Below are 26,177 nucleotides of genomic sequence, written 5' to 3' on the forward strand. Positions count from 1 at the left end.
AGCTAAACACTGAGTACACACAGACACAAAGAAGGGAACAACAGACATGGGGGCCTACTTGAGGGTGGAGGGTGGCAGGAGGGTGAAGTTTGAAAAACTACCTATCGGGTACCATGTTTATTACCTGGGTGACAAAATAAGTTGTACACTAGACCACCATGACACACGATTTACCTACATAGCAAACATGTACACATACCCCTGAACCTAAAATAAAAGCTTAAAATAAAAAACAAAATAAAATAAAATACAAGGTATAGAATAGGGTAGTCATTGGAAGTTCATGATTAAATAAATATAACTGTGGTGGGAGGATCACGACGGAAAATAATTTTATTTTATTTTTCTGTGCTTTAAATCTTATGTCCTATGGTTTGTTAATAAAAATCATGGACTCTCAAAAGTTTAAAGGAACTTAAAATGTCTTCAAAATTGAGGAACTGTATATATTTTATACTTTTTGACTATTTCTTCTTTCAGCTGGTTGTTTTGGCATAGATATTAACTCTGATATTTATCTAAGAAGAGCTGCTATTATTGATTCTATGTTATAGAATATGTTTTCAACCTTGCTCTAATCCTAGGAGGGAATTTAACCAGCTAGGAACGTGATACAGATCACCACAAGAAAACTGGGTGGATGATCACTGTCACCGGTGAAAATTTGTTTTGTGTGCATATATAAATGTTCCCTATTTACAATGGCTTGACTTCCTGGTGGTTAAAAAGTGATATACATTCAGTAGAAACCAAACTTTGAATTTCAAATGTTGATCTTTTCCTGGGATAGGGATATGAGGTCTGATACTCTCTAGATGCTGGGCAGCAGCAGGGAGCAGTAGCAATCATGAGGGTAAACAAACACTACTGTATTCCATACTGTACTATATTCAATACAGTACAAGAGATATTCAACACTTTGTTATAAAATAGGTTTGCATTCTATGAATTTGCTGTAGGCTAATGTAACTGTTCTGATCATGTTTAAGGTAGGCTAGGCTAAGCTATGGATTCCATAGGTTATTTGTATTAAATGCATTTTTGACTTATAATATTTTCAACTTAATGATGGGTTTATAAGAAGGTAAGTTGAAGTGCATCTGTATATATCAATCAATAAAGAATGGGCTTCCACTTCATTTTAAAAAATTGCTTTAAAAATAAATTGAAATTTACTTAGGAGAGGTTTGTTTTGTGTTAAATATTAGTTTTGTTTTACACTTAAATTATCTGGATTTATTAATTTCCCAATGTCTTCACTAAGGCAAAATTTAATTGGAATTGAAATCAGATACATTAGACACATTGGAGTTTATATAAAATCAAGAAAATTTTCTAAGTATAACATTAATAGTGATCATTCTAATCATAATTATTCAAAAGACCTGGTTCAATACAGCATTGGATTTATTCTATAGAAAATGAGATAGAAATATTAAGTGCACTGAAAATAAACTCAACTTCTCTATAATATTTTCTTTTCACTAAATATTAATATTTATATTTCAAGGATAAACATTGGTAGGGAATCTGCTGAAATCAGGTAACAGTATTCTATGAATCTAGTGATTAGAAAGGAATTCAACTAACTGGTAAAGGGGATACATTTACATATTTTCCAGGCTATCACCACCCTTTTTAAACAGTCCTGACTCGTCTTTGGCAATTGTGCTCTATGGGAAAATAATATAACACTTTGTTTTATAATTTTAACTTTGGAAAAACACAGCCTCAAATAAATGACTAAGTTTGCTTTTATTCCCATTAAACGTTAAACTTAAAAGTTCAGATTTGAGGCTGGGTGCGGTGGCTCACGCCTGTAATCCCAGCACTTTGGGAGGCTGAGGCAGGTGGATAGCTTAAGCTCAGGAGTTTGAGACCTGCCTGGCTAACATGGTGAAACACTGTCACTACAAAAAAATTAGGTTGGTAGGGAGGCACATGCCTGTGGTCTCAGCTACTCAGGAGGTTGAGGTAGGAGGATAACTTGAGCCCAGGAGGTCCAGGCTGCAGTGAGCTGAGATCACACCACTGCACTCCAGCCTGGGTGACAGAGCAAGACCCTGTCTCAAAAGAACAACAGCAAGAAAAAACAAAAATTCAAACTTAAAAGTGTGAATGCATCCACTGTTGGGGAAATATAATTAGAAACTAAATCTTTCCCCAACCCAGAACACTTCTCAACAAACATAGTAGAGAAATAAGCCAGTTTTATTATTTTAAAAAGCATGAAACCAGGATGTCATGCTAATCACATTGAAAAGACAGAAAGGAATTTCACCCCCTATAGGTCTAAGCAGATAGACTTATTACATACATGCGCTCAAGACAGACAATCATTAGTCCTCAAGTAAGAGGACTTTGCAATACCTTTTGTCACATTCTTTTATCTTAATTTTATCATGATAATTGGGGAGACTCCCTGTGGCTGTATCAGGAGGAGTAACAAACTTCTCATTGCAAATTGGAACAAGATGCCCACAGATGTTAAGCTCTTTTCCTCCCACACTAACTGAAAGATAGGGCCACTATCTCTCTTTATGTTTGCCTTTCAAAAAGATGCCTACCCGATGAAGTCTTCCTAAAAGGCACAAGAGAACAGGATTCAAAAGTTTCTGGATGGCTGAACATGTGGAGGGTCCTGGAGGGTTGACCACCCAGGGAGGATGTGGAAGCTCCACACCCCTTCCCCCATACCTTGCCCTATGTACCTGTATCCTTTGTAATATCCTTTATAATAAACTGGTAAGCAATTTTTTAAAAAAGGCTTACAGGTACTTGAGGAAACATTCCTGAATTGTGAGACTGGCAGAGGTTTATTTCGCCATTATCAAGATTTATATACATTTGAAAAGGACAGAGAAAGGAATTTTGAAATAAAAGGAAAAAGGGGAGAAGTCTCTTGCCTGGTAAAATGATAATTCTTATTTTTAATCTATATTTTCCCCTACATCACCCACAGGAATATAGAAGTAGTATTATTTTATTATGACTTTTTTCTCTCCCCAACCTTTCAAAAATAATTTGGAGAGCTTTCTTTGGGTGCTACCTATTTCGTTTAATGGCTTTATTGAAGTATAATTGACACCCAATACACTGCCCATATTTAAAGTGTAGAATTTGATATTTTGACATATGCATACACTTGTGAATTGAGAGAAAAGAGGGATGAGACTAGTCCCCCCACCCTTACTAATGCATTTTTTCCCCCACATTTGATGATACAGGCTGAATGTGTGCTCCCGCCCAAATCTCATATTGAATTGTGATCCCCAGTGTTGGAGGTGGGGCCTGGTGGGAGGTGATTGGATCATGGGGGCAGAATTCTCATGAATGGTTTGTTTAACTTGCTCTATAATGTTGTATAATAATATAACGTCTATAATGCAGGTCAGTCTATTTTACCACAGATAGTGAGGATTGTACAGAGATCATTGACAAGGTAGACAACAAGTGAGTCAAGGTTAGAGAGGGTAAAATCTAGCCTTCTCAATTCCAAGTCATATTTTTCTTCTCCCTTTTATGTTTCACAGTTCATTTCTACTGTTTCAAAGAAAACCGTTCTTTCTAATTAAATATTTATTCCTTAATAGACATCCTCTCCTCTTGGTACTGTCCTTGAGATAGTGAGTGAGTTCTGGTGAGATCCGGTCATGTAAAAGTGTGTAGCACCTCCCCTCTCACTCTCTTGCTCCTGCTTTTTCCATGTGAAGGACGTGATACTGCTTCATCTTCCACCACAAATAAAAGCTCCCTGAGGCCTCCCCAGAAGATGAATCATGTTGGCACCATGCTAATACAGCCTGCAGATCCAATTAAACTTCTTTTCCTTAGAAATTCCGCAGTATCAGGTCTTTCTTTATATCAATGTGAGAATGGACTAATCCACATGCCACCTACCAGACCTTGCAGTACCATGCTCACGGGCGCCATACCTGCTGACCAGACCTTGCAAACTGTGTGAAGAAACTAAGTTGAGCAGCATTCCACCAAAAATCTTACTCAAAGGAGTTTACCCTCTCATCTACAGTATGTACACAAATCAGGAGAATGACCCACCTTGACCCCTTGACTCATTATAATACTAAAATCCCTGCCAAAGGAGGGCGTATCCACCATTTTTTGATCATGTGTTGCGTGAAGAAGTACGTTTCTAAACTGTGCTTATGCCACTGAAACTCCTCCCTAATCATGCCTTGATACCTTTCCTCTTTCCCTCCAGAATTAAAAAATCTTGGGTGGCTCCTCATGGGAAGGCAGAGAACTATCATCCCTGTGCTGTTTCCCTTGTGCTCAAGCATAAGCCCCTAATAAAATCTTGTCTGAAACAATTTTCTTGGCCTTGTGTCAATTTCTATTGCTTAGGTGCCTAAGAACCTGTGGTCGTTAACAAAGTCATCACCACTTTATCTTCCCTACACCAGCCATACATCTTTAGTGTGATGTACGGCTGGTGTGTCTGGTCAAATTTCTTGCCCAATTTTAGTTTTATTTGGGTTGTTTGCTTTTTTATGGTTGAGTTGTGAGTGTTCTCTATATACTCTGCATGCGAATCATTTATAAGATATGTATTATAAGATACATGTTTTACAAATGCTTTATTGTAGTCTATAACTTTTCATGTTCTTAACTGTGGCTATTAAACAGCAAAAGTATATAGTTTTGATAAAGTTAATTTATCGATTTGTTCTTTTATGGAGTGTACTTTTGACTAGGAGAAATTTGGCTAACCCTAAGTCACTAAGGTTTTCTCCAATGTTTTTCCCTCTAAGTTCTGTAATAAGTTTTATATTTAGGCCTATGCTCAATTTTGAATTAATTTTTTTGTATATGGTGCAAGATATGGATTGTAGTGCTTTTTGTTTTAATATGGCTGTCCAACTATTCCAGCACCATTTTCTAAAAAGGCTATATTTTGTCCACTGAAATAAATGCCTCTGCATCTTTATCGAATTCAGTGGTCTATATATGTACAGCTCTATTTCTGGATTCTGTTATGTACCATTGATAACTTTATCTATACTTACATCCATTGTACACTGTTTTAGTTATTGTAAGTTTGTGTGATTTGAAATCCAGTAGTTTTTACCCTCCAACATTATTCCCCTTTTTCAGAGTTGCTTTACCTAATCTAAATCCTTCAGATTTTCATACAAATTTTAGAAACAGCTTGTTAATTTCTACAAAATTTCCTACCAAGGTTTTTATTGGGATTACCTTAAATCTATATAGCAATGTTGGGACAATTGACACCTTAAAATATTGAGCCTCTAACCCATGAATGAGGTATATCTCTTTATTTATTTAGGACTTTTAGAATTTCTTTAATTTGTATAAATATTACAAACCTGTAAACAAATCATTATAATAAAACCATGAGCCTACTAAGTAAATGCTACTAAATTATGCCTCCAGTATCAGAATTTTTTGGAGAGCCTAAAACCTTTCTTCTGATTCACAGTAAGTAGGTGATCATCAGGTGAACAAGCGAGATTGGAGAGAAAAGAAGTACAAAAGCAGAGAGTGTAGTTAGGATTAAACATTTAAAGACTTGCAAGTAGTTATGGTTTGACATATCTGAAACCATTGGTTCATATGGGGAATGTAAAGGAAGAAGTGTGGCTAGACCCTTGTCTTATGTGCTCCTGAAGACAATTGGTCTTCATCCTGCGAGCAATGGGGCTATTGAAAGATTTTAAACAAAAGAGTAACATGACTGTTTAAAAGATCACTCTGAAAGTTGAATGATTTGTTTTAATATTTTTAAAGTTATTTGTGCCTTAACCTTTCTAAACTATGGGAAAAGTCTCCAAGTTGTGGAATATTATAAATACTATATAAATATAACTTACTTTTGATTGACTTAAAAGCATCTCTTTTTAGCATTACAAAATACATCTTAGCTTGCTTTATATTGGATTTTGGTGAGCAAGTTAAACACTAACACTATGCCTGATTCTAATGTTATCTGTATTTTCTATTGTATCAGTTCTTTTCAGCATACTGTCTCTTATCTTCATTTAACTGTACAGTTTCATTCTTTTTCTTATTATTGTTCATTGTTGTTTTTATTATGTTAAATTATAGATCCCCTTATATATTTAGTAACTTACATTAATTACTCCCTTTATGCATTCCTCATTACTAATGTGTCCCCTACTTAACACTGCCACCAAAGTTGTCTTTTTCACTCTATCATGCTCCTTATTAAACAGTTATGGTGGTTTTCTATTACATCTTGTAATTAACTCTCTTTATATAATTAATTCATTTGCTTTTCCTTTCCACTCTACGGGGCAACATACACTCTGCCATTTAACTTACTTTCTACCTTTTCCACAACCGAAGTGAGTGTCAGCGAGTGAGGGATGAGCGTTTTTTCTTTTTTTTTTTTTTTAATGAGACACAGTCTTGCTCTATCACCCAGGCTGGAGTGCAGGGGCATGATCTTGGCTCACTGCAGCCTCTGCCTCCCGGGTTCAAGTGATTCTCCTGCTTTAGCTCTGGAGTAGCTGGGATTACAGGTGCCTGCCACCACGCCCGGCTAATTTGTTTTGTATTTTTAGTAGGGACAGGGTTTCACCATGTTGGCAAGGCTGGTCTCAAACTCCTGACCTCAGGCGATCTGCCCACCTTGGCCTCCCAACATGCTGGGATTACAGGAATGAGCCATCACGCCGGGCCTGTGGGCTTCTTAATGGTTTCCTGAATTCCTGTGTGTCTCTTTAAAAAAGAACTGCTACCCCATCCACAAACATTTTGTGAAACATCTATAATGCGGGTCAGTCTATTTAACCACAGATAGAGAGGACTGTACAGAGATCACTGACAAGGTAGACAACAACTGAGTCAAGGTTAGAGATGGTAAAATCCAGCCTTGGTCAATTCCAAGTCATATTTTTCTTCTCCCGTTTATGTTTCAAAGTTCATTTCTACTGTTTCAAAGAAAACCATTCTTTCTAATTAAATATATATTCCTTAATAAACATCCTCTCCCTTTCTATTTCATTTATTGATTATCTTTCCTTCTCTAACTCTGGACTTTTATTTATTTATTTATTTGCTGAGCGGGTTCCTCATTGAATTTAAAACAACTCTTTTCCCCACCATATCAGCATTGCTTGTATCCCTTGAAGGTGAAAGGATATTTCTGATCTGACCTAATTCTTCTCTTTATTCTGGTACTTTAAATTTATTATTGTTATTATTATTATTATTTTGAGACAGAGTCTTGCTCTGTCGCCCAGGCTGAAGTGCAATGGCAGGATCTCAGCTCACTGCAACCTCTGCCTCCTGGGTTCAAATGATTCTCCTGCCTCAGCCTCCCGAATAGCTGGGATTAAGCTGGGATTACAGGCACATGCCACCACGCTTGGCTAATTTTTGTATTTTTAGTAGAGACGGGGTTTCACCATTTTGGCCAGGCTCGTCTTGAACTCCTGACCTCAGGTGATCCACCCATGTTGGCCTCCCTAAGTGCTGGGATTACAGGCGTGAGCCACTGTGCCCGACCTACTAAGGTACTTTCAAATACAATGCTTTGTAAAGTCTCCATGAGATATTAGAACTCCTTTTCCTGGACTAAGTAGTGGGGGTAAATTGACCAAATCCATCTTCCTTGCAAGCATATTGCCTGCCCTCCTTAACCTTCTCAACATTCTTGATTCTAGCCTTTTAAATGGTTGTATCTTCATACCCAGGATAGCATAAGCTGTCCCCTATCTTTTTTTCTCAAATACAGAAATCTGGATTTACTTTTGGAACTCACTGAAGTATCACTGAACCAAATCCTGATTATTGGAATGTTTTATTACATTTTATTAAGTTGCATATTTATTTATATTTAAGATGTAGTTTACAAAAATCACTCTCTACTTGGCAAAATTCCAGTTTTTGATGCAAATTTTCTGATATGGCTTGCAGAATTATTTGTATTCAAAGAACGATTCTGCTTGTATTATGAACAATTGTCGTGAGATTGAAGAATATGGAGATGTGTATTAAGGTAATGAGTAATGAAATGCCTCTTTTTCCCCCACAGTATTTTGGATAAAAGTCAAGCTAGGTTGATTAGCTCAGTGTGGGTTCATAGTCAGAGCCATAGGATACTTGTTGAAACTTTCATCAAAGTGAGACTAAAATACAAAATCAAATATATTTCTATCTGAGACAAATTCAACAACTATAAGTAATAAATCATCTTTTTTCTCTTGATTACATGCTTCCAAATATTACTTTAAACTTTTCCCCATTATATTTAAGCAGTCATATTATTGTTGTGGTGACTCCGTCTAAAAATAGGAGTAATATTTTGTTTCAGATGCTTTTGAAGTATACAAAATAATTTAGAATCAATTGCTTAAAACATAAACAAATTATGACAATTTTCTACTGTGAATCCAAAAGTCATTTTAAATGAACCAGGATTTTATAAATTATAACAATACCTTCATACATTTAATGTAGTAATATACATATATAAATATGTGGGAAACATACTATTTATTTATCTACAGACCCATATTTGGAGCAAAGGTTGCTTCCTGGACACGTTAGATTCCAAGCAACTGATAAGTGCGTGGAGAGCAAATGAAACAACAGGGTGTGATCAGGGAAAGAAGAGAGATGTTCACAACATGAAGTAGGTCAAAGGGAGGTAGAGATGGTCAAATTCCTCCTTAATAAGAGATGCCAGCTTATGTTCAGAAATCCACACACCTGGCATTCCTAACATTAAGAATGCAATGGACATTCCAGGTCAAAGGAAATGCTCTGGCAGTTAATGTGCAGCTATTGCATTCTAACTTGTGTTTGTGGATTCCCTGTCACTGGATGGAACCAGACATTGCAGTACTTTTGCAGATATGTTATAAATGTGATCAGAGTTTATGTTTTCTCTTCCGGTGGAGTTTTTACTAGACTTAGCCCACGGCTAACTGAACTGACCACAGACAACACTTTGCTGCGTAGCATTGAAGGGCATATAGCTCAATTAGTAGATTTGTGGCACCTCCATGTAAAATCCAAAGAACTCTAGAAACCCAGCCAAGTCAACCAACATGAGTGTGAGCCAATGCTACATGAAAATAATTCCTCAGGCCATTGAATGCTACTTGGCATTGAATAGCAACAATTTGATTTATATTGCCTTTATGTTTTACAAGATCAAACTCCTTTTTTAAAGAATTTTTTTCAAATATACTTTGAAGAACAATAAACAATATTTTTAAATTCACTGAGGAAATGTTGGAATAGGTATTGTGCCAAACTATTCAAGGCAAAGTGTATAAGCTTTTTTCTGCCTTAGATTGTTTCATGCTTTGATCTCAATAAGCCATTATTTTTTCTCTTTTAGGCATTTAGCTGAAAAAAGATTTAACTACCCCACAATAAATAATGTCCCCATCTCCCTGAAGTTTTCAGATACTATTACTTTTCAGTTTATTTCTCTTAAGAAAGATATATTAATTCTGATTTACACATGATACTGTGCATTGAAAACAAGATGATGAGGGATAGTTTAAAGAGGTGGAGATTGGGATAATCTTCCCAAATTCTGTTTTCCCTCCACCCCTAGTCTATTCTAATGATACAGTTTGGATGTTTTGTCCTCTCCAAATCTCATGTTGAAATATGATCCCCAATGTCAGAGGTGGGGCCCAGTGGGAGGTGCTTGACTCATAGGGGTGATTTCTCATGAATGGCTTGGTGCTGTATTCATGGTAATAAATGGGTTTTCATTCTGTGAATTCACAGGAGATCTGGTTGTTTAAAAGAGGCTGGCATCTCCTCCCTCTCTCCCTGTATCTCTCATTCCCTCTCCAGCCATGTGATGCACCTATGCCCCTTTTGCCTTCTGCTATGATTGTAAGCTTCCTGAGGTCTCACTGGAAGCCTGATAGGTGCAGGTGCCATACAGAACAGTAAGACCAATAAATCTGTTTTCTTTATACATTACCCAGCCTCAGGTATGTCCTTATTGCAATGCAAAAACAAACTAACACATCTAACATACGTTTGAAGAACTACTGATTGACTTGGCTGTGTCCCCACTGAATCGTATCTTGAATTGTAGCTCCAATAATCCCCATGTGTCTTGGCAGGGACCCGGTGGGAGGTAATTGAATCATGGGGGCAGGTTTTTCCATGCTTGTTTTGTGATAGTGAATAAGTCCTACAAGATCTGATGGTTTTATAGAGGGCAGTTCCCACACACACACTCTCTTGCCTGCCACCATGTAAGATATGCCTTTGCTTCTCCTTTGCCTTCTGCCATGATTGTGAGGCCTCACCAGCCATGTGGAACTGTGAGTCCATTAAATTTCTTTTTCTTTATAAATTACCCAGTCTCTGGTATTTCCTCATAGAAGTATGAAAATGGACTAATACGACTCAAATATTAGATACACATTTTTATCAATAATATAGCATAAGGAACACACTCCCAAAATATTTAATTTAAAATCTAGAAAAAAAGTTTTGTTTAATCAAGGTGAACAGGTATAATGCTGTGCAGTAGTATTTAAGGAAAAGGAAATAGCTAAGATTATATTTAAAAGCTTTTTAAAAATAAGAAATGCTATATAAATTTTGAGAACCATTAGGGCTTTCTCTTTTAAATATTAACTTAATCTCATTTAGTCAAAGTGACATATGGGAGTAATTTAAAACTGAAGAATAATAAAGTGTAATCCCTTGCCCTAATATTCTCTGCACCCAAGTCCTTCCTCAGAGGAATATACTGTCAAACCTTTTAGCTATTTTTAAGACATTTCCTTTTGTATTCATACATGTTATGCTGCTACTATTATTACTTGATTTATCGTGTGTGTGTGTGTGTATGTGTGTGTGTGTATGTAGAGAGAGAGAGACTCCCTCTTGTGATATTAACATTTTAGACCTGTTATATAGACCTTCATGTTAGTTTTCCATTCTCATACAACATTTTGTATGTTCTGGAGTTAATAATTTCTCACTTCATCTGGTGTTTAGTTGTCAACATGCCAATCTCTAATATTTTCTTAAATGTGCCTTCTGATGTGTCAAATACATATCAATAAATGTACTGAAAGTTCAAACACATTGAATTATCTGTTAGTTACATTTCCTTCCCCAACCCCCAACAAGAGTTCCTCCTTCCAAAGCCTTCTGTTGCCCAGTTCAAAACAGAATTGTTTCCAGGAGAGAAAAATAATTCTTAAACCAGGCATACCGTAACTATCTGCAAAGGAAAATGTTAAAAAATTGGACTGGAATAAAACCACAAATTGTTTATCAAAAGATATCATCATGGGCTTGGACAGATAAGAGACATATTGGGAGAAAATATTTGCAGCTTATTTATTTGACAAAGAATAGAAATAAAGAATATTGAAAGTACTTCTAAAAATAAATAAGCAAAAGCTAACACCTCTAACAAGAAAACAGACAAAGACTTGCACAGGAAGATCACAAAAGAGGGCATCTAAATGGTCAAAATGCTTATGGAAAGATGTTCAATCTATTAATCATCAGGGAAATGCAGATGAAAACCACAGTGAGCAATACCACTGCAAATGTGCCAGAATGGAGTTGCCAAATTTAGCAAATAAAAACACAGGACTCCTACATATATTTGAATTTTAGACATAAAATGAATAATTTTTAGCATAAGTATATCCCAAATATTTCTCATGTAAGTAGACATCCTGTATTTTACATCTGGTAACGCTAGCCAGAAAGTATGAGATTGAAATAATGAGCAACACCAAGTATCAGCGGCAATGTGGAACAACTGGAACTTTCAAAGATTACTCGGTGGAGTGACAATTGGTACAACGTCATTTTGCAGAACTATCTGGTAGTGTTGCTTAAAGTGGAACACAGTAAATCTTAGAACTCAGCAATTCCTCTCTAAAGGTGTACTAAAAGTCATGTACAAGGATGCATACTGCAGCACTCTATGCATTACAACTGTTTAAAAAGATGTTCATGTTAAAAAGTTCATTGATAATGTAATCAATCAATAAATTGTGGTGTAATCATATGATAGAAGATCAAATAGCAATAAAGAAGAGAAAACTGCATCTATACTCAATAGATTCATATCACCCTGAAACATAATGTTGACTGAAAAAAGGCAGACACAAAATAGTACATTTCATATGGTTTCATTTGTATAAAGTTTAAAGACAATCAATCCACAGTGTTAGAAATCAAGAAACTGGTTACCAAGAGGAAAATAGTAATTGAGAGGAGGCATAGTGAGAGTTTTGATAATGTTTCATTTCTTGACTTGGATATTGGTTGCGTGGGTGTGTTTGTTTTGGAAAATCATCATGCTGTACACCTTTTTTGTTTGTACACATTTTTGTGTATATTATACATCAATAAACAGTTTGTTTAAACAATTATTAACAAACGGTACTTTGTTTTTAGTTATAGAATATGATTTGTGATTCACATGACAACTGATTTTAACTGGTGAGCCATGGTGACACATTTGAGGTCAACGGCTGTAAAGAGCTCCCATGCCTGTGCTCAGGAACAGAGGGTCTTGGCATTCTTCCTGTCGCAACTGGGGGTGAGAAAACAAAAATGACCTTTCTGGGAAAATACACTGAGATGCATGTGTTAGCTTTGTTGAGAATAACTGTTCAACAGGCTCAGGGCATTTTACTCAAGTCTTTTCTGTCTTACTCACTGTTAAACATTGCCTCTCTGGTAGGCTATCTCTAATATGTATTGTTTGTCCATCTTCCTAGCAGTTGGCTGGGATTTGGCTTTGCTTTAAAAGTTAAATGTTTCCTCTTTGTATGCCATTAGCTTCATGTGTCATGTTTTCTAACCCTTAGGATTATCTGGACCAGTAATCCCTTGCCCGTCCCTTGCCTGGTTCCTGTGCCTTTGGATTCCGTTTTGTCTAGGATGCAGATAAACTTAAAGCATTATATTATAAAGAAGTGACATTAGTGTCTAGCTATATGGCTGAGGGGTTCCTTTATCTCAGAACAGGAAAGTGAGAAGTTACCACTGAGATTCAGCTATACTTATCATTATCACAAACAATAATAATAATTATGTAACTCAAAGTGTCATTGTTCCTGATACAGGGGTTTGGCCCCTTGTCTGGTTGAAGACAAATTCCTGGTCTCCTGTGGGTTCTTCCTAAAATCCCCTAGACTTTACTATTATTTTTAAACTTAGAAATAGACCCCTAATGTTTTATGCTCTCCATGACCCTTTCCTGATCATCTGTAAACTTGAGTACAACTCCTTTGGAACACATGTTCTTTCATGTGGTGGAAAGAATGCTTTGGAGTCCGACAGACTTAGCTTTGTACCCAGGCTGCTCCACTTACTGGCTGTGTGAACTTAAGCATGTTACTCTCTGAGCCTCCATTAACTCTGAGGCTAAAGATGATATTGTTATCTGGAGCCTAGAATTATGGTTAGATTATATGAAGTGTAAGGCACTTACCACTTTTCTGGGTACAAGAAACTTTCAAAAGATACTAGTTTCTTCCTTTCTTCCTTTCTCTTCCATCCCTGCCATTACTTTCACAGCTTACCGCGTCCTTCCTAAATTAGTTGATCAAAGATCCAGAAGTGCATCAATTGTGCGTTCACAACATCACCACCATGTACATATCTGCTTGAACGTTTATTTCCTAGAGGAATATCTGAATGATAATCTTAGAATATCTTCATTGAATCCCATGCAGGAAACATAAGCAAACTGCAGCTGACTAATATGATAAGAAATATTACAGACAGTTAGATCATGTGGCTAATGAGGACACACTGTGGGTGGTGCAGGGAGGAGGAGGAGAGGTCAAGTGAGTGCAAACCCATCCCTAAGGAGGGTAGTGTGAAGTATAATCAGTAACTCCCTTTTTAGCTTTTCTTAGGAACTTCATAACTATACTTTCATTTTCCCCAAATACTCCTCTTACTCCCTATGACAGAAACAAACAGAAAAGTTTTAGGTAAGTAATCAGTTTTATTTGTTGACTGAGTGAAATAAATGAATGCAATAATGAGCAGTACCATGTATAAAGAGTATGAATTTTGGTACAAGACAGCACAGGCCAAAATCCATGATCCACAACTTACTAGCCATGTGATGTTGGAAATTTAATTCAGTTATACTCTGTAAGGCTCAGTTTCCTATCTGTCAAATGGAGATCATATCTGTCTCTCATGATTATGCTAAGAAGATGATGTTTATATGGTCTTTAGTGCATTGCTTAATAATGTTTATTATTAATATTACTATCACTCTATGACTCCTGTTACCGCTACCTTACTTAAATGTCTCATCCAGACGTTTCATGTCTTATGGTCCAACACACTCCTATTCTTGTATATAAAGGGCTCAGAGGCCCCAGGCTTTAATTCCAGAAAGGACACTAGGCCGCTTTTTCAGAGATACATGCTCCCTCCCTCTGCTGCTTCCAAGAGTCGTGATTTGCTGCCCCTTTCCACTAAGAGAGTTGTTGGAATTGCAGCCTCTCTCCTTCTCAAGCTTCAGTGGTTCTGGGATCACCTAAGTCTTCTCCTCTGGAAAACTGGAAAAACATTCTCCTCTTTCCTATTCAACATTCATACTCCTGACAGTGGATTTTTACTGCACTGAAATAATTTATATGCCCTTCAATCTATAGATGGAAATAATAAACACTGGCAGGTCTGTTCAGTTATCCAACATCAAATTCCCCTGGGCTGTGAAAATCAGATGTCTACGTGCTTTATTTTTGTGTAAATAGATTGTAGTTTGTTCCTGAAACTTGTTTTTAATGGCTGAGCCTCATCTTCCATCACATTTATATAGGGTATAAGTTTAATAGCAACTGCGGTATTATACACAAGTATTTTTAAAAACCAGAAGACATTTTCTCAAAATATATGCCTCCCTTGATGAAATCTTCTGTTGCATTTTCCAAAAAAATAAAAAAAAAAAGGGGGCCTTTGGAATAAAATCTGTCTAATTATTTGTAGTATAAGCCTTTTTTCTCTTTTTATTTTTTCCCTTATTTGGAATGCTTTTGTTGTTGTGTACAATGCTTATGCAACCAGTTTATTGCATCAGCAGGATTTCAATAGGCACAAACGTAAAGTAACTTTGTTCCTTCTCCCTAAATGCTCCTTTTGACTTAATGTGCCAAATTGTTCTTTTCTATCCATGGATGAGGATTCCACAGCTTTGTCAGCTACTTTCTGGAATTAATGAGTAGCATCAGTTTCCAGCATAGAAAGAGCAGCCTAATAGAAAATGATCCATATGTGATCAGATTTCTTTCTTTTTCTTAATTTAAGACAGATCTTGCTCTGTTGCCCCGGCTAAAGTGCAGTGGCACGATCACAGCTCATTGCAACCTCCACCCGCCAGGCTCAAGTGATCCTCTTGCCTCAGCCACCCAAGCTGCTGGAATCACAGGCACCCACCACCATGCCCGGCTAATATCTGATCAGATTTAAATCTCTCTTTCCCTACCTCAGTCCTGCTTCTGGAAAATCTGCAGTAAGAAGTAGGTTTTGTTTATGCACTCTTTCTTCATCTGTTTCTTCCACTTCCCCTGTGTTTACTATGCAACCTCTGATTAATGGTTGGGTGTGAGAGTGGAGATTGATTAATGGGGAAGTGATACGGGGCACAAAACTTCTTACCTGACTGGCGCAGTTATTATCTCCTACTGGAGCCCTCTGACATGGCAGATTCCAAATGCTGATATTTCTCTTATAATGCAATCCTTGCCTCTAGACTTCTCGACCATGCATCGGGTAGCAGACCCTGCATTTCTCTAATCCAGAGCTCACCAGGCCATCCTCCATTCATTGCTTTCACTTAGCTTGGGGATTTGGTGACAAAGACTCATTCCTTTTTTCCCCAGCTTTATTGAGGTCTGATTGACAACGTGGTATAAATTTGTGGTGTACAATGTGAGGATTAGATAGATAGATTGATGATTAGGTAGATAGATAGACAGACAGATAGATGATAGTGACATGATTACCACAATCAAGATACTTAACACTTCTATCACCTCAGTTACTGTTTGTTTTTTAATGCTGAGACAAAGACTCTCTCTTTTATACAGATTATAGCCAGGCTTCTCTGAGCCCTCTTCTTAACTAGACTTCAGCCTTGGCCTATTAAGACTTAAACAACACTCATGTAGTTTCTAGAAACTCAAAGTCGCATCTGCAAAATAACCTTTGCCCCCCTTAAAGTGCCTGTCTGAGAAAACTCAAGGCTGCCGAAGAAATGTATTATTCGTTCCAGGCAACACCTGAGAAAAGGGCCTCTGTCTCTGAGTCTCTTGGGGAGAACAGGGTCCTATCTTTGATAATTGTCAGTTAGTGGACACAGCTGGTCTAATGACATTTACACTAACTAACCCTCTGTAATTTTTCACTTCCATGACTCTGCTAAGCCTCTAGTTCCCTCTCCTTACTCCCTCACCCTCCCTTTAAAACACTTGCTCATCTCTGTACAAATTGGAGTTCAGTTCACTTTGGACCGTTTTTTCTATTGACATAGTTATTACTGATGAAAATCTGTCCTTACCATTTTAACTAGGGTCTAGCTTTGCTTATCTTTGACCTTGGGCCCGGGGGTAGGAAAGGAAGTCTCCAAGATGGTCTCTATCTCTTGACCTCGTGATTCGCCCGTCTCGGCCTCCCAAAGTGCTGGGATTACAGGCTTGAGCCGCCGCCCCCGGCCGAGATAATTTTTTAAAAGTTTCATGGGGCCGGGCACGGAGGCTCATGCCTGTAATCCCAGCACTTTCGGAGGCTGAGGCGGGTGGATCACGAGGTCAAGAGATAGAGACCATCCTGGCCAACATGGTGAAAGCCCATCTCTACTAGAAATACAAAAACTAGCCGGGCGTGGTGTGGCAGGCTCCTGTAATCCCAGGTACTCAGGAAGCTGAGGCAGGAGAATTGCTTGAACCTGGGAGGCAGAGGTTGCAGTGAACCCAGATGGCGCCACTGCACTCCAGCCTGGTGACAGAGCAAGACTCCGTCTCAAAAAAAAAAAAAAAAAACAAAAAAAAAAACCTCATTAGCAAGTTCCACATAGATGCTGGAACTTCTTTTTAGATTATATGGGTTCTTAACAATCCTTTATTCTATGCAATGGACCCTCAACTGAGAGTAAGACAACAAAATATGTTGTATATTTATCACAAAGCTGTACACCATGAATAGCATAAGAGCTTATAACCAGTTTCTGATGGGTAGCACATTAACCATAATTTGTTTTAAATCTTGATATTATAAAAGGAATATTAAGCAAACTGTGGAGGTCTGAAAGTATTGTTTTTTGATATACCTCATAGTATAGCTCATATTCAACTGATATCACATGATACTATCACATAATGTGATAGTAATGGTATATCAGTTGAATATGAGCTATACTATTTTCTCTTTAAAGTTTGAGGATCTTCCTTTTCTATTAATTTTGCCATGCTTATGTGGGTATCCTATTTTTTTTATGATGGGATGAAAATTATTAAGCCAAGGCTTCTGTGCTAGCTGTTATTATCAATGATATCAAAACACTCATTTTTGAACAGTATAAACATATTTCAAAAGCAATCTGTAATAACTCTTAAAATAGATATGATCATTAAAATGGTAAATGTCTACTGTAGCAAACTGAAAAATATAAACATATATGAACAGATTGAAAACACCAATAATTGGTGAAAAATCATGGGTAACTTATTTTAAATTTTGATGTATATTTTCTAGTTTCTACATCCACAGTGCATATTTTTTTCTACTAATGAGATAATATTGTGTATTTGCAGTTTATCCTACTTTAAAATTTAGTATATATCAGAATTAATCAATAGTCTTTGAGAACATGGCAAATATGTTTTAATGGCTGAATAAAAGTCTATCATATAGTTACAACATCACATATTTTATTTTGTCTCTACTATTGCGTATTTACATATTGCCCATTTTATTATAATAAGTATATCAATAAATTTCTTTATATATAAATCAATGTATAAAGCTCCTTTTATTAGAATGTAAATCTGCACTGACTGAATCAAAGATCAAAGTTTGAACATTTTGCTCTTCTTGAAAGAAATTTACAGTTTATTCCCTAGATTCTATTAGTAATGTATGAGTGCCACTATTATCAGACGCTACTAGATTGAATATTGCTTTCTAAATCTCAATGCTTTTACATGTAAAGATGGTATTTTATTATTTGCACTTTTGTTTCTCTGATAATCATGCCTTTTAAGTGGCTTTCCATTTTCATGAATGTCTAAGCCAATTGAAATATTCAATCTGAATATGCCTTACTCAAAATCAGATATTTAATGAGAATCTTTTCTAGTACTGAAAAAATAATGTCTTTTTCACCATGATGGTGGACTGGTAACTCTGTGTCTGAAAATCTGGGCCAAAACCATGTCAATATGAGTTATGTTCTAGAACTTTGTGGCCTTGACTTTTCATTTATTTTGTGTGTAGCAGGAAACCAAACTACTTTCTAAATGCAATTCTGACCCTATTGTCAGCCCAGCCTACATCAGTTCTATGTAAAGTCAACACTTGCTTTTCTTGTGAGTGTCATCCTAATGGCCCTTTTCACCCTAGTGACACAACACTCCTGCCTCCTTATAGCAGCAGCTGAATCCAGTTTGCAGCTTCCCCAACACTTGCTAGACTAGCTCCATCACATCTCATCCGACAGATTTTGGCACCAGGCAGCAGGCAGCCTGTCAGCAAAAGTTGAGGTGTCATAATAAAAAAAAAAAAAAAGTTGGGGAGTCAGGCCCAAGGAGCCCTTCTCCAAGCTCCCATGCACCACCATCAGTTGAGCTGCAAGCACTTCTAACTCAGAAGTCCGAACTTAACCTTCATGAGGTTGCTCCAAGTTTCTAGGTTTTAATAACATCAGCCTCTTCTTTGTTTCCCCAGCCCTAATTAGCTATTTCCTGTAATTGCTACTCATCATGGTCCCTTTCAATTCCCCTTTTATCCTTTTGTGACCTTGTTAATAAATATATATGTAGTTTAAAATTCTGTATATTATTTTCTCTTTAAATAACTTATGAGATTTCTCTCTCTTGACTGAACCCTGAGTGATACACCTAGATAAAGGCAATAACCAAAATTATGGACATATTTTCTTTATTGAAAAGTATAATGCCTATTATGGGAAGGGCCAGACTTTTATTTTTTATTTTTTATTTATTTTTATTTTTTTATTGATCATTCTTGGGTGTTTCTCGCAGAGGGGGATTTGGCAGGGTCATAGGACAATAGTGGAGGGAAGGTCAGCAGATAAACAAGTGAACAAAGGTCTCTGGTTTTCCTAGGCAGAGGACGCTGGGGCCTTCCGCAGTGTTTGTGTCCCTGGGTACTTGAGATTAGGGAGTGGTGATGACTCTTAACGAGCATGCTGCTTTCAAGCATCTGTTTAACAAAGCACATCTTGCACCGCCCTTAATCCATTTAACCCTGAGTGGACACAGCTCATGTTTCAGAGAGCACCAGGTTGGGGGTAAGGTCATAGATCAACAGCATCCCAAGGCAGAAGAATTTTTCTTAGTACAGAACAAAATGGAGTCTCCTATGTCTACTTCTTTCTACACAGACACAGCAACAATCTGATTTCTCTATCTTTTCCCCACATTTCCCCCTTTTCTATTCGACAAAACAGCCATCGTCATCATGGCCCGTTCTCAATGAGCTCTTGGGTACAACTCCCAGACGGGGTGGCGGCCGGGCAGAGGGGCTCCTCACTTCCCAGAAGGGGCGGCCGGGCAGAGGCGCCCCCACCTTCTGGACGGGGCGGCTGGCCGGGCGAGGGCCGCCCCCAACCTCCCTCCCTGACGGGGCGGCTGGCCGGCCGGGGGCTGGCCCCCACCTCCCTCCCGGACGGGGCGCAGACTTTTATTAATGTGCAGGAACTTTGAGTTATATTCAGATTGCATAGTTTGAGATATGTAAAGTATTATAGAACAACACCTTTTAAAGTTGAGTAGATGAAAATGGCAAAACTAAAAATTAGGGTGTTTCATAGGATAGAATATTTTTCATCCACTTTGAGAGAAATTATTAAAATTAGAAGGTTTGTGGATGAATAAATGGATGAAAATATAATTTCTGGGGAGAAACCTAAGGCAAAAGAACCATTCTCAGTGCTCACTGGTTCAGATAAATTCTATGCTTTGGAATTCCAGAAACCTAAGTGATTCTTATAGCTGGCAGTCATCAATTTAAGACACAATGACATTTCATTCGCTTATAAAACTGGCACCATTGGCTTTCTGGTACAGCTTTCCAGAAGCAGTGTTGAATTTTCCCAGATGCAGTCTTACTCTTTCATAGGACCCAATAGGCACTAAGAATTTGTTGAAGAACAAACAGAAGAGAGTTATTTCGATCAGGACCAGGCTGAATGTGTAGTTTCAGCTACTTTAGCATTGTGACCTATCTGATTCAACTATTTTAACATTAACTCACAGAATTTTAGTACATTGAAGGACCAGATCAAATTTCTTGTATTGATTGATATTTGCCATCCCAGGAAGGCATGTTTAGTCCCAGAAGACTGACAGACAGGTTAAAATAATCTTTTAGGTTGACAGTTGACATAAGCCACTGCCCATTTAAAAAATAATAGAAAATAGAACATGGGGAAAGAAGTGTTCCTAAGGGTACTGTTGCCCAGAAACGATGTAGTAACCAATCAACAACAGAAGAATAGAACTCAAAAACGTATACAAACCTGTTGAGGGGGAAATGTGAAAAGCAATTCTTTAAGTAAGAACAGGCAGCTTTTCTAAAATGTTTGATAAGAGAAAATAATATATAAATGGTATAGAAACAGACTAAAAATGAACAAACACTTATTCAGACACATTTATATTTGTGATACATTCTCATTTCTGAAAACAAGATGATTTGTGCTGTGGATGGTCCTTTGGTGAATTTTGTTTTCTTTTGCTGCTGTTGTTGGCTTGGAGGTAGGGGTAGAGCAGGACATACAGAATGTGAATTTGTAGCTGTGAGTAGCCATTTTGTTTTTGATTTTTGTGTTTACATGCATTTTGAGAGTGAATATATGGTGTAAACACTAAGATGACTATTCGTTCTTATACTTGAAATAAATTAGGTAATTTTCCACTTTTTTATTTCTAAGAACATAACTATAGTTAGAACTATTACTTCACAAATCCAGAGATGGAGAAACATGGAGATGAAATGATGTAAAAATAGTAAAAATATTCATATAGGAGTACATGTGGTTCACAAAAGCTTACATTTTGAGTGGAGTTTTATAAAACTAATATTTTACCTATTAAAACTTTTTCAGTGCTCTCTAACCTATGATATTTGCGAGTCAAAAATCAGCATGCATGATACAAATATTATTTCTGTAACAATTGTATGACAGTTATTTGGCAGAGTGAATTACTGATTATCTTACTTTAAACTGCTACCGGATTCAAAACCATAGCTATTACCTGCTCCTTAGTACAGCACAAACAGAAGGGGCAATATTGCTATTTAAGATTAGATTGAGTCTAGAACCTTTTATGACTGGATGGTTATTCATTGTGCAAAAGCCAGATCGATGAAAGGTGCAAATTTTAGAGTCAAAAGTGAAGGAGTAAGAAAGACTCAAGCTTTCCTTCTACATTGCATGTTCTAGTTGCTAAACTGTCGGCAGAGCTGGTTTTCAGTTGGAAATTATCAAGAAACTCTACCCAAGTTTTGGAAATCCTTAGGATCATGGTATCCTCAAGTTAGAGAGTAGAGTTACATGGATCAAGAAATGTATAAATACAAGAATATAAATTTTACACTTGATTACTACTTGTTTACCTGAAGCAAGTAAGCAAATGCATTATACATACTAACTGAAAACTTATGTGATTTTAAAAGGTCTTCTTGAGTGAAATTATTAACCATTTGATCATATCTAATGCATAAATACACAGAGTGAGTTATCCTTCTTCCTATTTCTTTTTTTTGCTTATCAATAGTAAAACAATATAGAATGCTTAAAAATTAGGAAAAAATCGTAAGCAATCAATCCTAAAAAAGTAACCTATTATTTTGTTTAGTCCCTTTAGGTTGTTTATATATATATAATGTAACTGTAATATTAATGAAAATAGCATTTTTCATTGCAATATTTTATAAATTATTATTGGATAAACATGTATATATCATACTAAAGACAATATAGCATATGCTATAACTATATACTATATGTTACATAAATTACATAAAAATAGTGTATGTACTATGTATTCTATAATAATTACATACTCTAATTTAACTATCTCTTGTTAGAAAACAAAGCTTCTGATCTTTTTTTCTATTAGAAAAATTGTTTTGCTTATAGACCTTTTGGGCTTACACTTTTTGATTTTTACCTAAGACGGCAATGATAAAAGGACTGTATGGGAATGAAGCTGTAGCTTGGAACTCATTAGTGCAGTAATCTGATTAACCAATGTAAATTAGCCGGAGTTGCTAATGTATTCTTCAGCTGAGCTGATGCTTTCTTTAATATGTCCTTCCAAGAATTGTGGGAAAAAGAGCAGGAGGCACTTCAGGGCGATTCTACTTCCTGACTCCAATTTCTGACTCCCAATAGTTTCTCTTTTGCCCGAAACATTTTACCTGTGGGGAGAATCCCAGGTAAATATGGAAATATCACTGTGGAAAATGGAAACATGGCAACGGTAGACTCTGAAATTGATGAATATTTTGGGGCAGGATACTAGTGGGCTCAGTTATGAGCTCAGTGTGAATGGGAAAGGAAAATGTAAATAAACAAAATTAAGAAATTCTAGCCGAGGTAGAGAGTCCAAGTTAAAAAAAAAAAAAAAAGACATTCTATGAGTTTTTTCTTCCCCCTCAGAGACTCTCAGATTTTATGACCAAAATGGTGTTAAAGGAAGAAAAAGAAGAAGAACATTATTGGTTGCATTGTAGCATATCCAGCTGCCATTGAAGTATTGAGCATGTGGAAGGAAATGTATTTTGTCTAAATCTAAGAAAAATTAATTTTGATTCAATAGGGACTATTTAAAATAAATATTTGGCTACTTCATAGTGACCTGGGACTAACAAAATCTGTTTTTGCTAGTTCATCATAGCTCAACTTGAATCAAACTACCAAAATGTTATTTTAATGGATTTTATTGGTCAGTTTTTAACTCTTAAGTATAAACATATAAATTCACTTAACCTCAATCTAGTCTTATTTATAGTATACATATGGCTAACATAGAGTTTTAAAAAAGCATCTTCTAGTCACTGAATACATTTTTAAGATAATTTAAACTTGTTGACTAGATTTTTCCAAGAAGGGTTTCCATGGATTTTTGAAAATAAATATGCCTTCAAAAATAGGACATTATTAAGATATTCTTCCTGATCCTCTCTTGACAATTTCCAAAACAAAAATTGAAACTTAGTTTGACCTCTTGTACCATACTGTTTGCCATGTATTCAAAAACTAAATTGTATTAACATCACAAAGAAAACATTCAGTGAAAGAGCTGCCATGGAAAACTGATTTTGAATGGGACATTCCAGAGTTTAGCATTATCTTCAGCATCGAAATCATACAAAACTTGAGCTCTCATAGGGTGTTTGGTACTCAAATTGGCAGTTTTTATATATTTTTTGTTTTGTTTACAATTTTATGTTGATTAAAATAGTATTACTTAATTCAATACAAAATAATACCAATTTGTTACTTCGGTGGGGTTATGACTAGAATATTTTTCTAGTGAGAGAATCTAGACAACAATCCTTTTTTATTCAATTTATACTGCAGAAAAGGTACTCTAAACTGACACGATGGAGTCCTGCAAATTTTAATTTGATTCATAAAGAAGAAGCCCTTTACTGATAATAATATTTACTTTTTTGAGTTGGCTTTAATTCCCCCACCCACCCCCACCCTGCAATTGCAGGAAGCAGACTTCATTACATCACACGAAACCTCCTTGTCCATGCCCTGGCACTCAGGATGCCTCTAAGGGTGGGATAGCTGTCCTCCCTGCAGCTCTTCCTAATGGGAAGTCATAAAACCAGGTTGGAGCAATTCACTGAGGCAGGATGATAGTTTTTTTGCATTTGTTTTCTTCACTCTTTAGTGATGGGATAAAATTATAAGCAAGAATGTGTGTTTTTTTTAAAGGGTTGTAGAAAGACACTGATAAAAATTCTTCTAAATTTCTTGTATCTTCCCAGATATAATCAGGTGACTTTCTCATGTTTTAGATGTTATCATAGGCAATCATTTAACCTGTAGTTATGGAATTAGATAACGGTAGCTGTTACAAGTAGCTAACACTTATGTGACACTTCCTGTATTATGTAAAACAGTATTGACTTATACATCATGCACATCTAGATAGGGAGCATTATTGCTCCGTTTGATAGATGTGGCAACTTATATTCCAGCTCAAAGAAATTTAAGTAACTTTCTCAAGCTCACACACAGGATAAGTAGCACGGTTGAGATGCAAACCCAGGTAGTCAGGCTCTGACAGAACATGCCATGATGATCATTGAACTTTGGTAGTTTGTCTTTCTTTCATAAGCAGAGATTTAAAAAATAACCTGGATTTTTCTATCTTATGTTTTCTATCATTTAAAATTAAGACTTTACTTATAAGGGCTGGGTTAATCTCTTAAACAGAAATCATAATATTTCTGAGGATGACTAAAAGCTGTACACTTTTCAAGAGATTATTATGCATGAGATGACTTAGAATCTACGGCTGAGAAGAGATAGGGAAGTGGTAAATGTGGTATCTGATCTGGCCCAACCCTACTCTAAATGGGACATTTCCCTTCACCCCCACCCCTTCTTAGTAGAATGATAAATATTTATCAGTACTTGCTAAGTGCCGGGCATTGTGCTAAGCATTTTGATAATAACATATCTAAGCATTTTGATAATAATGTATCTAAGCATTTTGATAATAATGTATCATGTAATTAATATCCTTCCCATTTGATAGATGAGACAACAGAGGCTTAGAGGGTTATGCAGTTTGCCAACTCTGCCATAGTCAATAAGTGGCAAAGGAAGTATGAACCCTGATGAAATTATACCAAAAATTTGCCCCCCTGGGCCTTTGATTAGATAAATTAATAAATTACCTGTACTAATTAGGCCTTATTTTTTTTTTTATTACTGGCAACCAAAAGCATCGTAACTGACATAAGAATGTACAGCCAATGCCATTTTGGTGTACTTCTTAGGAATAATATAGTCTTATCTTGGGTAGAGAACCTTGGGATTTGTTTTCAAAAATTTACATCTGCTTCTTCATTAATATTTAAAATGGTGGATGCAGCAGCAGTACATACTGTTACGATTATGCTTGCTTCAAAAGGAAGTTGTGATACAGAGAAATTAAGTACTCTTGTGATTCATGCCATAATTATGTAAAGTTAAGAAATTAGAGAAAAGAGTGTGCAGGAAGGTAGAAGGAAAGAGTTGAATAAGATGTAGTCATTTAAATGAGAAAAAACATAAATGGCATGGAGAAAACTCAATCTGTTTTTGTTTCCTCTTTACCAAATTAAAGAAAAACATATAAGTAAGGTCTCATACTCAGAGATAAAATGGTTAGATATTTATTTAGTCTCGTTTTAGTACCTCAAACTCCACAGTAGTTAGGCCCCTTTCAGGCTCAATATATTGAAGTGAGAAGAAGAAACACACACAGACTTAGTTGATAGCTGGACACAGGAAGATTTTCAGCAAGGTGATGAGATTAATAATTGATATTAATATTAATATCTTCTCTATTAATATCTTTATTATTAATTATATCTTATTAATATCTTCTCTATTATTTCAGTGATTCGGGTTTGTCACATTTACACACTATTAATGGATAATGAATAGTACTTTTTTGATTTTAGTAATCTGTTATTCTAGTTTTTCAAAGGAATCTTGCCACACAGCAAGATTTATCCCCCAGCATGGGGCTAAGCCAGGGACTTGCCTCAAAATGATCAGGATAATCCTGGATGAAGGGGCTGTGGCCACCACAACATTAACTTCCAGTTTTTATTTTTAGCACATGACTAGAGTCACAGAGCTATGCTTTCAGCCTGGCTGAGTCATGATTCATGAGGTGACTGCCATTCTATTGCTCAAACTTTCAATC

At 36.4% G+C, this 26,177-nt stretch overlaps 1 annotated feature.

The window, feature by feature from the left end:
• Positions 19,130 to 19,677: an enhancer, noted in NCBI's record as "OCT4-NANOG-H3K27ac hESC enhancer chr4:175507314-175507861 (GRCh37/hg19 assembly coordinates)". NCBI's record gives its function as "activates a minimal SCP1, AML or CMV promoter by ChIP-STARR-seq in naive H9 embryonic stem cells {active_cell/tissue: H9 hESC(naive)}" and the evidence as "EXISTENCE:reporter gene assay evidence [ECO:0000049][PMID:30033119]".

Source organism: Homo sapiens, chromosome 4 (genome assembly GCF_000001405.40).
Source record: "Homo sapiens chromosome 4, GRCh38.p14 Primary Assembly".
In the NCBI taxonomy this organism is placed as follows: domain Eukaryota; kingdom Metazoa; phylum Chordata; class Mammalia; order Primates; family Hominidae; genus Homo; species Homo sapiens.